This window comes from Homo sapiens, chromosome 1 (genome assembly GCF_000001405.40).
Source record: "Homo sapiens chromosome 1, GRCh38.p14 Primary Assembly".
NCBI lineage: Eukaryota > Metazoa > Chordata > Mammalia > Primates > Hominidae > Homo > Homo sapiens.
This window is the reverse complement of record NC_000001.11, coordinates 11,108,174-11,123,968: the sequence shown is the minus strand read 5'-3', so window position 1 is coordinate 11,123,968 and position 15,795 is coordinate 11,108,174. Positions and strand designations below refer to the sequence as shown.

The window sequence follows — 15,795 nt, the reverse complement described above, 5'->3', positions numbered from 1 at the left end:
TAAAAATACAAAAATTAGCTGGGCGTGGTGGCGGCCACCTGTAATCCCGGCTACTCAGGAGGCTGAGGCACGAGAATTGCTTGAACCTGGGAGGCGGAGGTTGCAGTGAGCCAAGATTGCACCATTGTACTCCAGGCTGGGCAACAAGAGTGAAACTCCATCTCAAAAATAAATAACTAAAGTAAGGAAAAAAAAATTAAGTGGCCAGGCATGGTGGCTCACATGTAATCCCGACACTTTGGAAGGCTACAGCAGGAGGATTGCTTGAGACCAGGAGTTCAAGACCATCCTGGACAAAAAAGTGAGACCCTGTCTCTACAAAAAATAAAAAAATCAGCTGGGCATGGTGGCTCATGCCTGTTGTCCCAGCTCCTTGGGAGATGGAGGCAGAAGAATCATCTTAGCCCAGTTGGTTGAGGCTGCAGTGAGACAAGGTTGTGCCTCTACACTCTAGCCTGGGCAGCAGAGCAAGACCCTTTCTCTCAAAAAATAAAGATAGGCTGGGCACAGTGACTCACGCCTGTAATCCCTGTCTCTACAAAAAAAAAAAAAAAAAAAAGCTGGGCACAGTGTAGTCCCAGCTACTCAGGGGGCTGAGGCAGGAGAATCACTTGAGCCCAGGAGGTCGAGGCTACAGTGAGCTGTGATGGGGCAACTGTGCTCGAGCCTAGGTAACAGCGAGACCCTATCTCAAAAAGTAAATAATATTTTTTAAATGTTTTAAAAATGAAAAATTAAGTTATAAAATTTTATAATTTATAACCAAGTTCTTCCAGAGTTTTTAGGGTATTTTCATTGGGAAATGCCTTTAACAACCTCCAAAGAATCCAGCAGGGAGCAATTTGTGGCGGGTAGACTGGAGAGTCTACAGATGGGATGGGTCTGACCCCTTGTGGGATGAAAGCCAAACCTTTCCCATCGTCCGTATTCTGGCACTCCTCTTCCTGTTAAAACCATGAGAATTCACTTGAGAGGTATTTTAGTCACTTGATTGTTCCCCCAAAGCCATGAGTTTCTTGGGCAGGTTGAGGAGACCTGTGTTGCTTTCACTGCACCATCAGTGCACTGTCTTTCTGTGATGCCTTATTCTTCACAAAGCATCCCTCAACACACACTTCACACCAGCCTGCTGCGGCGGGGGCTCATTAAAAATAGTCAGGGCCGCCGGGCGCGGTGGCTCACGCCTGTAATCCCAGCACTTTGGGAGGCCAAGGAGGGTGGATCACGAGGTCAGGAGTTCGAGACCAGTCTGGCCAACATAGTGAAACCCCGTCTCTACTAAAAATACAAAAAATTAGCCGGGTGTGGTGTTGTGCATCTGTAATCCCAGCTACTCGGGAGGCTGACGCAGGAGAATCGCGTGAACCCAGGAGGCAGAGGTTGCAGTGAACCAAAATAGTGACACTGCATTCCAGCCTGGGCAACAGAACAAGACTCCATCTAAAAAAAAAAAAAAAAAAAAAAAATAGGGCTGGGTGCAGTGGCTTAGGCCTGCAATCCAGCACTTTGGGAGGCCGAGGCAGGCGGATCATGAGGTCAAGAGATTGAGACCATCCTGGCCAACATGGTGAAATCCGTCTCTACCAAAAATAAAAAGATTAGTTGGGCATGGTGGCACACGCCTGTAGTCCCAGCTACTCGGGAGGCTGAGGCAGGAGGATCACTTGAACCCAGGAGGCAGAGGTTGCAGTGAGCCAAGATTGTGCCACTGCACTCCAGCCTGGGCAACAGAGCAAGACTCTGTCTCAAAAAAGAAAAAAAAAACAGTCTGCCTGTGTTCTGAGCTGCTCAAGGGTATACTCTCTTTACGGTACACTAACCCTGCTTTTCTGTGGGCGCCAGCATCCAGAGATACGCTGTCATCCCTTTATCGACCAACTCGGGCCTCATTGGCTGGGTTCCCCACTGTGACACACTGCACGCCCTCATCCGGGACTACAGGGAGAAGAAGAAGATCCTTCTCAACATCGAGCATCGCATCATGTTGCGGGTATGTGATGCGGCCACGAGAGCTAGTGCCCCTTCCGTGGCAGGGAATCTCCGTAGCGCTGCTTTTCTCATTCCTCTCTGTATGTCTGTCACTGAAAAATCTCTTTGAGAGAATCAGCTTTGAAGAAGGTTTAATAAAGTGAGTCCTAAAGCAGATAAGCTTGTAAGAAACTGAAGGACCCTTAAGCTGAGAAATTGTTTTCACCATCCTAGGGAAGACTAGACAGATAAATATTCGGCACCATATATTTACTAATGTATACAAAGCACTGGCCATATGGAGAAATAATGTTTAGTAGATGTGTAAGTAATAAGAAAGAGAATTGCTTGTTTTCCAAAACCTTGAAACTTCCAGTACTCTCATCTGCACAGAAGGCCTATAACTGAGGTGAAGTCTCGTGTTTTTCCCTTATGCCTTGGGGTTCCAGTGGTCATCAGGTTAGAGTGGTCACTTCGTTTCTCCTTTTGCCATGTTCTTATTTCCCTTCTCCTTTGGCTATGATGGGGAAATTAGAACTCAGCTCTGCCTGGACCCCAAGCCTTGTTTCTTCCTGGACCCAAACTACATGTCTTAGGCTGCTCTCTTACTGAACAGTTGTGTCCTGATGCAGATGGCTCCGGACTATGACCACTTGACTCTGATGCAGAAGGTGGAGGTGTTTGAGCATGCCGTCAATAATACAGCTGGGGACGACCTGGCCAAGCTGCTGTGGCTGAAAAGCCCCAGCTCCGAGGTAGGCCACTGGGCCCTGCAGACCTGCGCTCTCCTGGAACCCCCACTCGCAATAGGATGGCCCTCCCATCTGTTCATGTGCACACAGCGGCTCTTCTTTGCTGTGATTGGCTGTAGAGCGTGTCCAGACTTTTCTAACAAAAATGAAATGGGTGAGCAAGACAAGTTCACAGAGTTAGAATGAGTAGTTTAATATTTCCTCCAGAACTCTTTATATATTAAAGAATTAAAGATAGTTGTCTTTTTTATATATGTTACAAATTTCCTATTAACTTAGTTTTTAAATTTTGCTAATGGTGTGTTCTTTGGTTTGGAGTTTTTGTTTGGTTTGGTTTGGTTTTTGATACACAGTCAGCCCTCCATATCCGTAGCTTCTGCATCTGTGGATTCAGCCAACTGTGGATAGAATATTTTTTAAAAATATATATAACAATAAGAAATGTAAATTTTTAAAAATATAGTAGAATGACTGTTTACATTGTATAACATTCACATTGTATTAGGTATTATATGTACCCAAGATGATTTGAAATATAAGGGAGGTTGTGCATAGGTTACATACAATACTATGCCATTTTATTAAAAAGTTGTTTTTGGCTGGGTGCAGTGGCTCACACTTGTAATCCCAGCACTTTGAGAGGCCAAGGCAGGAGGATCACTTGAGCCCAGGAGTTCAATACCAGCCTGGGCAACATAGTGAGACTCCATCTCTTTTTTTTTTTTTTTCCCCGCCCAGGCTGGAGTGCAGTGGCAAGATCTCGGCTCACTGCAACCTCTGCCCCCTGGGTTCAAGCGATTCTCCTGCCTCAGCCTCCCCAGTAGCTGGGATTACAGGCACGTACCACCATGTGGGTTAATTTTTGTATTCTTAGTAGAGACAGGGTTTCACCATGTTGTCCAGGCTAGTCTCAAACTCCTGACCTCAAGTGATCCACCCACCTTGGCCTCCCAAAGTGCTGGGATTACAGGTATGAGCCACCACACCTAGCCTGTGAGACCCCATTTCTACAAAAAAATTAGCCGGGCATGGTGGTACACACCTGTAAGCCCAGCTACTCGGAAGGATCATTTGAATCCAGGAGAATGAGGCTGCAGTGAGCCATACCATGCCACTGCACTCCGTCCTGGGTGACAGAGCGAGACCTTGTCTCAAAGCAATTTTATATATATATATATAAATTTTTTTTTTTTTTTTTAGAGACAAAGTCTCACTGTGTCACCCAGCCTGGTCTTAAGCTATCCTCCTGCCTTGGCCTCCTAAAGTGCTGGGATTAGAGACATGAGCCACCACGCCCGGCCTACACCATTTTATATAAGGCACTTGAGTATTGCAGATTTTGGGATCCGATGGGGGCCCTAACTTAGAGATATGACTGTACAGGCATTTTTTAAAGTTAGAAGTTACCAAATTTTTAATCCTTTTCTTTAAAGTTTCTTCCTTTGGTTTGTTTTTGTTTTTTTTGTTTGTTTGTTTGTGTGTTTTGTTTTGTTTTTTTTTTTTGAGACAAGGTCTTACTCTGTTACCCAGGCTGGAGTGCAGCAGCACGATCTCGGCTCACTACATACTCCGTCTCCCAGGTTGAAGTGATTCTCCTGCCTCAGCCTCCAGAGTACCTGGAATTACAGGCGCGTGCCACCATGCCCGGCTTTTTTTTTTTTTTTTTTTTTTTTTTCTCGAGACGGAATCTCAGTCTGTCACCCAGGCTGGAGTGCAGTGGCGCGATCTCGGCTCACTGCAAGCTCCGCCTCCCGGGTTCACACCATTCTTCTGCCTCAGCCTCCCAAGTAGTTGGGACTACAGGCACCCGCCTCCATGCCCGGCTAATTTTTTTTTTTGTATTTTTAATAGAGACGGGGTTTCACCATGTTAGCCAGGATGGTCTCAATCTCCTGACCTCATGATCCGCCCGCCTCAGCCTCTCAAAGTGCTGGGATTACAGGCGGGAGCCACCGTTCCCGGCCACTCTTTTGTATTTTTAGTAGAGACAGGGTTTCACTGTGTTGGCCAGGCTGGTCTCAAACTCCTAGCCTCGAGTTATCCGCCCTTCTCAGCCTCCCAAAGTGCTGGGATTACAGGCATGAGCCACGGTGCCTGGCCTCTTCCTTTGGTTTTATATTTAGAAAGGCCCTCTCCACCTTGAGGTTATTTTTTTACCTATATTTTCTTATACTAGTTACAGGGTTTTTTTTACATTTAAGTCTTAACCCAAGTCAGACACTATGGTACACACCTGTAGTCTCAGCTACTTGGGAGGCTGAGGCAGGAGGATTGCTTGAGCCCAGGAGTTCAAGGCTGTTGCACATTAAGACCACACCTATGGGCGGGGTGCAGTGGCTCACGTCTATAATCCCAACACTTGGGGAGGCCAAGGCAGGTGGAATGCTTGAAGCTCAGGCGTTTGAGACCAGCCTGGGCAGCGTCGCAAAACCCCATCTCTACAAAAAATAAAAAATTAGCCGGGCATGATGGCACTTGCCCATTGTCCCAGCTACTTAGGAGGATGTGGCGGGAGGATCACTTGAGCCAGGAGGCAAGGGTTGCAGTTAGCTGAGATTGTGCCACTGCACAATCTGTAACTCAGCCTGAGTGACAGAGCCAGACCCTGTCTCAAAAAAAAAAAAAAAAAAGAAGAAGAAAAAGACCACACCTATGAAAAGCCATTACACTCCAGCCTGGGTAATATAGTGAGATCGTCTCTTAAAAATAAACAAGACCAGGCACGGTGGTTCACGCCTGTAATCCCAGCACTTTAGGAGGCCGAGGCGGGCGGATCACGAGGTCAGGAGTTCAAGACCAGCCTGACCAACGTGGTGAAACCCTGTCTCTACTAAAAATACAAAAATTAGCTGGGCATGGTGGCACGTGCCTGTTATCCTAGCTACTCAGGAGGCTGAGGCAGGAGAATCGCTTGAACCAGGGAGGCAGAGGTTACAGTGAGCCAAGATTGTGCCATTGCACTCCAGCCTGGGCAATAGAGCAAGACTCTGTCCAAAAAAAAAAAAAAAAAAAAAAAAAAATTAACTAAGTTTGGAATTTAAGGCGTAACTTTATTTTTTTAAACATGACTAGCCATGACCACACTGTTGGCCAAATAATTCATCCTTTCCCTGCTATTTAGAAGATTTTGTTTTTATTGAACACTGAATTTTTTTTAATTTTATTTTTTGAGAGAGAGTTTCGCTCTTGTTGCCCAGGCTGGAGTGCAGTGGCATGATTTTGGCTCACTTCAACCTCTGCCTCCTGGGTTCAGTGATTCTCCTGCCTCAGCCTCCTGAGTAGCTGGGATTACAGGCACGCACCACCACACCCGGCTAATTTTTGCATTTTTAGTAGAAACGGGATTTCACCATGTTGGTCAGGCTGGTCTCAAACTCCTGATCTCAGGTGATCCACCCACCTCGGCCTCCCAAAGTGCTGGGATTACAGGCATGAGCTACCGTGCCCAGCCTAAACACTAAATTCTACGTGTCCTTGGATTTCTTTCTAGGGCTCCTCTTCTGTTTCATTGCTCTTTCGGCCTGTTTCTCAAGTTCCATGGTGTTAATACAAGTCCCTTCTCAGGGGCTATCGTCATCTATTTTTTTTCTTGAGGCTGTTAACATCTTTATACTCATAAGGGGATATCCTTAAACTGATATTTTTCATTTACTCAGATCTTTAAGTCTAACACATTTCTAATTAAGTTTAATTCAAGGCATAGTTCATTGTTAGAATTGTGAATGAGGTCTTTATAATGTTATACATTCTAACCAGTTATTGATGGACTGTAAGAAAACAACTGATTAGGCCAGGCACAGTGGCTCAGGCCTGTGATCCCAGCATTTTGGGAGGCCGAGGCAAGCGGATCACTTGAGGTTAGGAGCTCAAGACCAGTCTGGCCAACATAGTGAAACCCCGTCTCTACTAAAACTACAAAAATAAGCTGGGCATGGTGGCGGGTGCCTGTAATCTCAGCTACTCAGGAGGCTGAGGCATGAGAACCGCTTGAACCCGGGAGGTGGAGGCTGCAGTGAGCCAAGATAGCACCACTGCCTTCCAGCCTGGGCGACAGAGCGAGACTCGGTCTCAAAAGTACAAACCAAAGACAGCTTATTAGAGTATAATTATGTTGAAATTAAAGTTTCCAGAACCGTAGTTCACATGCACTCCTGTGTTCTAGGTGTGGTTTGACCGAAGAACCAATTATACCCGTTCTTTAGCGGTCATGTCAATGGTTGGGTATATTTTAGGCCTGGGAGATAGGTGAGTAATTTAATTTGGTTTTTTTAGTCTTCTTTCTCCATTGTAGTTTTCCTGAATGGTTTCATTTGGTTTTCCAATTAAATATATGGCTTTTTGGTAAATAAATATTGGTATTGTATATGTAAGGTCTCTTTTACAACATTAGCCTTAGTTCCCTATTGATTGTGATGCCATCAGAAGAATACATCAAACTAAAGAAAAGGAAAAATAGTTCAAGCTGGGTGCAGTGGCTCATGCCTGTCATCCTGGGAGGCCAGGGTGAGAGGATCACTTGAGCCCAGGAGTATGAGACCAACTTGGGCAATAGCAAGACCCCATCTCAATAAAGCCCCACATAGTTCAAGGATACTACTTTCTCCTTAGTCTGGCTTAATGTATTAAAAGCTGTATTGCAGGGCAGGCTCATTGGCTCATGCCTATAATTCCAGCACTTTGGGAGGCTGAGGTGGGAGGATCACTTGAGCCTAGGAATTTGAGACCAGCCTGGGCAGCATAGCAAGATCCCGTCTCTACAAAAAATAATTAGCCAAGCATGGTGGCATACACCTGTAGTCCCAGCTCTTTGGGAGGCTGAGGTAGGAGGATCACTTAAGTCCAGAAGGTCAAAGCTGTAGTGAGCCGTGATTGCACCACTGTGTTCCAGCCTGGTCAACAGAGTAAGACTCTGTCTCAAAGAAAAAAACAAAAATACTAAATCATATTGATTTTATTGATTCAAGAAACATTTGTCAGTCACCACTGTGCTAAGATAAATCATTTTATTTCTGTAATTGAAACCAACCAAAGTAGATCCTTCTGATATTTTTGCATAATAAGTTTTGTCCAAGTGTACTGACTGAACATGTAATTTACGAATGTTCAGAAACGGACTCACAAGAATGTAAAAAAGACTGGTTCTCTGATGTCTACTGTTTTTCTCCTGGAATCATGTCTCATGCAACTATTTGAGAGTAAAAATAATTTTACCCCACAAAAATAGTAGATTTTTGTTTTTAAAAGTCTAGCAGAATATCTGTTGATAAAAGCCAGGTGGTTGCCGGGATTGGCTCAGGGACTTAAGGAGATGAGACCCTGTTACGGCTGCTCAGTAAAAATGATAGAGCCTTGTCACCAGAAGGTGCCAGTGCTGCCAGAAATGACTTATTAGGTCACCAAAGACCTCAGAAAAGCACAGTATCTCAGTACAGTGGGACAACCTGTGATTCACACATAAGCCCACATTTCAGCAGGAGTTGGCAAACTGTTTCTGTAAAGGACCAGTTAATAGGTCGTTTTAGGCTTTGTGGGCCCTTTGGTCTCTGTCACAACTAGTCAGCTCTGCTGTCGTAGCATGGAAGCAGCCTGGAACAGTACTTAAACAAGGGAGCGTGCTGTGTGTTCCAGTAAAACTGGACTTGCAGAAGTGGAGGTGGAGGGGCTGGATTGGCTGAGGGCTATCGTTTGCCAACTCCTAGCTTACAGTATCACGTACTTATTGATTTTTTCATCCGTTATCTCTGTTGATCCCTCCCTGATCTGTCTTCTGTTTCTCAAAGACACCCATCCAACCTGATGCTGGACCGTCTGAGTGGGAAGATCCTGCACATTGACTTTGGGGACTGCTTTGAGGTGAACACATGTTCTAGAACCCCAACCTCATCTTCCCGGGTGATCACTTTTCCCCCTCCTCTGACACTGTAGGCAGACTTAAGCCCAAACTGCCTTACTCTTAACCCCTGCTGGCCCTACCAAGGCTGTAGTTAAGTCAGTCTAAGAAATGAAATCTGGGCTCTTAGTTGGACTCTAACCCCCTTGGAGCAAGGGCTGCTGTTCCCATGCCCTCTGAGTAGAGTAGGCCCCTACCCTCCATACCACCTGTTGCCCAAGAGCCTGGACACGATGCACATTTGTCTTTTTTCCTTTTTGTTTTCTCTTCTTTTCTGTTGTTCGTTTCTTTTTTTTTTTAAGTTGTCTTTCAAATCCCTGTGACAAGTCCTCTCACTAAACCCAAGCTGCTTCCTTTCCCTGCTATAATTAAAATCAGTGCAGGTGATGCAGAGGAAAGCCACCTGCTCCACCTGGCTCCAGGTAAAGAAAATAAACATTGATTTGGCTTTTCCCATTTATTATTCTGTAGGTTGCTATGACCCGAGAGAAGTTTCCAGAGAAGATTCCATTTAGACTAACAAGAATGTTGACCAATGCTATGGAGGTGAGTGGATATCGGGAACGAGCTGCTTCCAAATGGGATCAGGACAGTTACAGCCTTCTGAGAACACGCTTGTTAGAGCCCATCAGTTCTCCAAAGTGCCTTTGTGATTTTTGTAGCAGTTTTCTGTTATTTCCTATTGTGTTAGAAATGACCTATCTATGAAAGGCTTACCACTTCACTTCTGACCTGGTTTCCTGTGGATCACAGTCCTGCCCTGATTCCTTCTCCTAAGACATTCTCACCCTGATACGTCAACATGGCCTGTGTCTGCTTCCTAAGTGAGGGTAACAGACCCCCTCGGCTTGCTTTGGGTGGAGAGTTAGTAACTCCTGTGGTGAGTGGCTCTGTCCCATTTCTAGGTTACAGGCCTGGATGGCAACTACAGAATCACATGCCACACAGTGATGGAGGTGCTGCGAGAGCACAAGGACAGTGTCATGGCCGTGCTGGAAGCCTTTGTCTATGACCCCTTGCTGAACTGGAGGCTGATGGACAGTGAGTATCATCAAGTGCCTGGGAGCTGAGCTCAGTGGCTCACACCTGTAATCCTAACATTTTGGGAGGCCAAGGCAGAGGAGTTGCTTGAGGCCAGGAGTTCGAGACCAGCCTGGGCAACATAGTAAGACCCCTTTCTGCAAAAACTGAAAAAATTAGGCATGTATTAGTCTGTTCTCACGCTGTTATAAAGAACTGCCTGAGACTGGGTAATTTATAAAGGAAAGAGGTTTAATTGACTCACAGTTCTGCTTGGCTGGGGAGAACTCAGGAAACTTACAATCATGGTGGGAGGGGAAGCAAACACTTCCTTCTTCACTTGGGGGCAGAAGAGAGAAGTACAGAGTGAAGGGGAGAAAAGCCCCTTATAAAACCACCAGATCTCATGAGAACTCAGTCACTATCACGAGAACAGCATGGAGGAACCATCCCCATGATCTAATCACCTCCCATGAGGTCCCTCCCACAACACATGGGGATTACAATTCGAATTGCAGTTCAAGATGAGATTTTGGGTGGGGACACAGCCAAACCATATTAAGGTGGGTACAGTGGCACATGCCGGTGGTCCTACCTGCTCAGGAGGCAGAGGCAGGAGGATCACCTGAGCCTGGGAGGTTGAGGCACAGTGAGCTATGATCATGCCACTGCTGCACTCTAGCCTAGGTGACAGCGTGAGACCTTGTCTCAAAAAAATAAAAAAATAAAAAATTTAATTTTAAAAATAAAAGAAAACAAATAAAAAATAAAATCAAGTGTGTGGAAGCTGGGGTTGGCAGCCTCCCAAATTAGCAATATCCAGCACATAACATTTTACAAACCTATGCCCCTTCAAGCCTGCAGCCTGGGATACATTGCAGAGCTATTGCATTACATTTGCACAGAGTAACTCTGACACCTGGAAAAGAACTTCAAGTATTTTTATTAACTAAAACAGAAAATGCCATTATCAATTTAGATACTAAAATATTCTTCAGTATTAACCAAGTATCCTAGTGATTTTTCTCTGGGCTTTATATAGAGTAGTAAGCTGAAATTTTAATAAGAAACGCAAACAGTTATGATTTGGGACAGCAGTATCTTCATCTACCCTTTGTTCTGCCACCTTAGGGGATGTTCACCAAAAGAGCTTCTAATCCATTGAAATTAAATCATACTTTGACCTTATATTATCTGTATTACATTGTCTAAGTCCAAATCAACAGTATAGAGTGTCCCCCTGGGTTTCACATCCCATGCTAATACCCACCCACTTATTCCTGAGTAATATGTCTGTCATCTCTTTTTTTGGGGCTATAGCTTTACGAACAATTATATTTTTATGACTGGAAGAAAATAACCAAGTTTCTTTCAAGTCAAAATTTGAAGCATGTTTCAATACTCTTTATTTCTCTCCCTAGCAAATACCAAAGGCAACAAGCGATCCCGAACGAGGACGGATTCCTACTCTGCTGGCCAGTCAGTCGGTAGGTGCATCCACGGGAGGTCGCAAAGGCTCTCCCCCTTGTGCAGAGTGTTTGTAGAGTGGGGTGGGCTTCAGTCGGTGGGTGCATCCCGCAGGACGTTACAGAGGCTCTCCCCCTTGTGCAGAGTGTTTCTAGAGTGGGGTGGGCTTCAGTCAGTGGGTGCATCCCGTGGGAGGCTGCAGAGGCTCTCCCCCTTGTCCAGAGTGTTTCTAGAATGGGATGGGCTTTGTTATTGACAGTAGGAGGCATAACTTAAAGTGGTAATGGCTACTGAACATGAAGGAAGTAAATCTAGTTTTCTCGTGGTTCTTGACAGTGATAGTTTTGCAAAGGTGCTATTACTGCTAGCTTATCACCTGATAAGCATTTAATTGAACTTCAAATACTTGGTCTAGAAATATTTACTGAGCACCAAGCAGCTAATATGTTTTTTATTTACTGTTTCACACATGGAGTGGGTACCTGAAGCTCTGAGATTTTTATCAAACTATCTGATTTTAATCTATCTGTAAAAACACAGTTTAAAGTATGTCTGAATATCAGCTCACTAATGGTGTCTGGGTTGGAATAATTATTAACAGTATTACCTTGGTCCTCAAGCATTGATAATAGCTCAGAAATGGGAAGATGGAAGCAGCAGAAATTTATTTGCGTTGCTGGGAGGAACCCTGGAACCACATGGAACAGTGTTTCTAGGAGCGCGACTCACAGAGCAGGGGTCTAGAAGACTTGTGTCCCTCTGAGAGCCAGAGTCCTTTTTGTGTGTGGAAACCTCTCAGGAGTGTTTGAGTCAAGCTGTTTAACTTTTATTTTATTTGTATTAGTTTCCAGCACACACAGCATTGAAGTTACTGGTTTTGGGGGGTTTTTTTGTTTGTTTGTTTGTTTGTTTTTGAGTAAAATTGTTTAACTTTGTTTAGCCCTCCCCTCTTCCCCGCACTCCCCATCCCACCCCTTTTTTCCTTCGTGACATTTAGCAACACCCTACATAGTTCATACTTTGGGAATTACTGTTAGGGTGTAAAAAAGTATATCTTTTCTACAAATGTTTACAGAGCACTTACAACTAGTTAATAAACTAAGCCAAATAATGTCTAGGGGTGCAAAAAGAAAATGTGAGGTACAGTGGTCGCCTGAAGAAGCACAGAAAGCATTACAGAATTGACCATAACCTGCGTGAAATAGTCAGAGAGCAGGAGACTCTGCCGTGGAGCCTGCGGGTGCTTTCGTGTGGAGTAGGGCTGTGGAGATTCAGAAAAGGGGACTTCACTGTGAACCGTAGCTGCGAAGAGAGCACTTGGGTTGGTGGCATCTAACCATCACTTCACCTGACAAAGGGTAATTTTTCTTTCTTTTTTTTTTTTTTTTCTTGAGACAGAGTCTCGCTTTGTCACCCAGGCTGGAGTATGGTGGCGCAGTCTCGGCTCGCTGCAACCTCTGCCTCCCGAGTTCAAGCAATTCTCCTGCCTCAGTCTCCCAAGTAGCTGGGATTACAGACGCATGCCACCATGCTCAGCTAATTTTTTTGAATTTTTAGTAGAGATAGGGTTTCACCACGTTGGCCAGGCTGGTTTCGAACTCCTGACCTCAAGTGATCTGCCCGCCTCGGCCTCCCAAAGTGCTGGGATTACAGGCATGAGCCACCCCACCTTGCCAAAGGGTAATTTATCCTTATTGGATGGGTGGAATCTGATGGGTAGAAAGGAAAAGGGTGTTTCAGGCAAGAAATTGGGATACTGGCTTATAATGTCATACATGGACACTGTGACAGGATTTGTGAATGCCTGAATCACCAGGCTCATAGGACACACAGTCTCTGGGGGAGCTTATACTGGTGGCTGGTCTCAAACGAAGTGTGCTGAGACTTACTGGCTTCATTCTCAGGGCCCACCTCCCTAACAATTCTCAAGTGGCTACTATATGCTGTCTGTAGCATACAGAAGGGAACTAGGACAGCCAGTTCTGCTGGCACCAGATGGTGGTGGATTTGGTTGTTTAGCTTAAAAGTTAAATTCCAGCTGGGTGTTGTGGTGCACACCTGTAAGCCCAGGAGGAGCACTTGAGCCCAGGAGTTTGAGACTAGCCTGGGCAACACAGCAAGACCCTGTCTCAAAAAAAAGAACTTCCAATGGATCATTAATAGAAGTATAACTATCACCCGGGTGCGGTGGTTCATGCCTATAATCCCAGTACTTTGGGAGGCCCAGGCAGGCGGATCACCTGAGGTCAAGAGTTTGAGACCAGCTTGACCGACATGGAGAAACCCCATCTGTACTAAAAATACAAAATAAGCCAGGCATGGTAGCGCATGCCTGTAATCCCAGCTACTCGGGAGGCAGGAGAATCTCTTGAACCTGAGAGGCAGAGGTTGCAGTGAGCCGATATCATGCCACTGCACTCCAGCCTGGGCAACAAGAGCGAAACTCCGTCTCAAAAAAAAAAGAAGTATAATTATCACTACCTTCATTCAGAAGGTCTGTGATGTACAAGGACAGCATTCAAAAAACTTCATAATTCTGATTTCAGACTCTTCTCTGCTAAAAGCCATAATCAGTGGAGGGTGAACCTAACACCTGAGGACTTTTTCTACCCAGAGCTGATATGAAAATTCCTCCAAGGAATAACATTTCAACCTTGTGTGTGACACATTCCGAAGTTAATTTTCTTTATCAGTTTTTGTCCAAACACATTTTGTCACGAGGCTTTTGACCTGTTCTTATTCCTATGAGTTTATTTTGTTAATGCAATTTGCCTGAAAATCCATGTTTCAATTCTGATAAGCACCAAATTTTTTCAATAATTATTAACTCACATTTGAAAATGGCTTTACAGATTTAAAAATTTTTTTTTTTTTTTTTGCAAATGGAGTCTCAGGCTGGTCTTGAACTCAGCTACTCAAGTGATCCTTCCACCTCAGCCTCTTGAGTAGCTGAGATTACAGCTATGTCCAGCTTAAAACTTTGAAATACATAAAGAGTAACATAAAACTTTCCTTCTCTTTTCCCCTTTAGGGTAGGTAGGGCAGGCGTTAAAGGAATAGAGTGCGTAGAGAATTAGATGCTAACACCAACAGTGGCTTTTTGGTGTTTGAATTTTCTGTTAATTGATTTCTTTTCCCATAGAAATTTTGGACGGTGTGGAACTTGGAGAGCCAGCCCATAAGAAAACGGGGACCACAGTGCCAGAATCTATTCATTCTTTCAGTAAGTTCAGCCTCTGAGGAACCGCACCAGTGACTAGCTCATTAAGAAAATAGCAGCTGTGTTATACCCTGAGAGGGGTCAACAAGATGAAGCAACAAAACTGCCTTTGAGCAGAAAAGGTTCCATGAATTTCTCATTATATTCTGAGGACAAAGACGGACATAGAGGAAGGATTGCTTAACACTTACAAAAGTGAATATTTGAGAAAAACAGGGCACCCATTGAACCTGTTGTATTGCTCCCATTCTTACAGTTATTTCTACTTTTGTGTATTCCAGTTGGAGACGGTTTGGTGAAACCAGAGGCCCTAAATAAGAAAGCTATCCAGATTATTAACAGGGTTCGAGATAAGCTCACTGGTGAGTGTGTCATGTGTTTACTTAAAAGGGACATAAAATCTGAGCACACTTTCCTCTCTGAGTGGTGGTCAGCCCCATGTCCAGTGGTGTTAGTGACGAGCTTTGGCACCATGCAGCTGACAAAGAGTGTCTTTGAGGTCATCAGTTAAACATTGTCTCTGATTCTTCTTTCTGATGACTGATAACAGTACTTAATGTTAGTTTAATCTCATTTAACTCAGGAGGTGAATAAATTTCTTTTGGGTCCAAAATCAGCCAAATTCAGAGAAGTGTTTTTTAATCATGTCTTTTTTTTGTTTGTTTGAGACAGTTTTGCTCTTATTGCCCAGTCTGGAGTTCAGTGGCTCCATCTTGGCTCACTGCAACCTCTGCCTCCCAGGTTCAAACAATTCTCCTGCCTCAGCCTCCCGAGTAGCTGGGATTACAGGTGCACGCCCAGCTAATTTTTTGTGTTTTTAGTAGAGATGGGGTTTCACCATGTTGGGCAGGCTGGTCTCAAACTCCTGACCTCAAGTGATTCACCCACCGCACCCGGCCGAATTTTTCTTTTTTTCTTTTCTTTTTTTTTTTTTTTTTTGAGACAGGGTCTTGCTCTGTCACCCAGGCTGGAGTGCAGTGGTGCGATCTTGGCCCACTGCAACCTCCACCTTCCAGGTTCAAGTGATTCTCCTGCCTCAGGCTCCCAAGTAGCTGGGACTACAGGCATGTGCCACCACACTCGGCTAATTTTGTATTTTTAGTAAAGACAGGGTTTCACCATGTTGGCCAGGCTGGTGTTGAACTCCTGACCTCAGGTGATCTGCCTGCCTCAGCCTCCTAAAGTGCTGGGATTACAGGCGTGAGCCACCGCACCTGGCCAAACTTTTCAAATCCAACTATGATGGTATCCTTCATCTTCATGTCTGACGATAAGCTGTTGGCATAGACAGTTAAGCCCACAGGGAACAAGAAGTGCATCGATTGCCAGGAAGAGAGTGAAATGTTTTTGTTCCTCCTGTGCTAGGTCGGGACTTCTCTCATGATGACACTTTGGATGTTCCAACGCAAGTTGAGCTGCTCATCAAACAAGCGACATCCCATGAAAACCTCTGCCAGTGCTATATTGGCTGGTGAGTG

At 44.8% G+C, this 15,795-nt stretch overlaps 1 protein-coding gene across 7 annotated transcripts in view; it reads left to right on the top strand.

The window, feature by feature from the left end:
• MTOR (mechanistic target of rapamycin kinase) overlaps nt 1–15,795 on the top strand; it is a 156,017-nt gene that overhangs the window by 138,583 nt on the left and 1,639 nt on the right. For 5 of the 7 annotated variants that reach the window (NM_001386501.1, NM_004958.4, NM_001386500.1 and 2 more), the window contains 10 exons: nt 1,843–1,990; nt 2,601–2,723; nt 6,883–6,965; nt 8,501–8,573; nt 9,082–9,156; nt 9,516–9,651; nt 11,052–11,117; nt 14,240–14,320; nt 14,599–14,679; nt 15,683–15,788. In NM_001386501.1, coding sequence (NP_001373430.1) covers nt 1,843–1,990; nt 2,601–2,723; nt 6,883–6,965; nt 8,501–8,573; nt 9,082–9,156; nt 9,516–9,651; nt 11,052–11,117; nt 14,240–14,320; nt 14,599–14,679; nt 15,683–15,788 — 972 coding nt within the window. Of the gene's footprint in view, nt 1–1,842; nt 1,991–2,600; nt 2,875–6,882; nt 6,966–8,500; nt 8,574–9,081; nt 9,162–9,515; nt 9,652–11,051; nt 11,118–14,239; nt 14,321–14,598; nt 14,680–15,682; nt 15,789–15,795 lie in introns of those variants that run through there. The other 2 variants (XR_007058581.1, XM_047416721.1) reach the window with 2 other exon arrangements.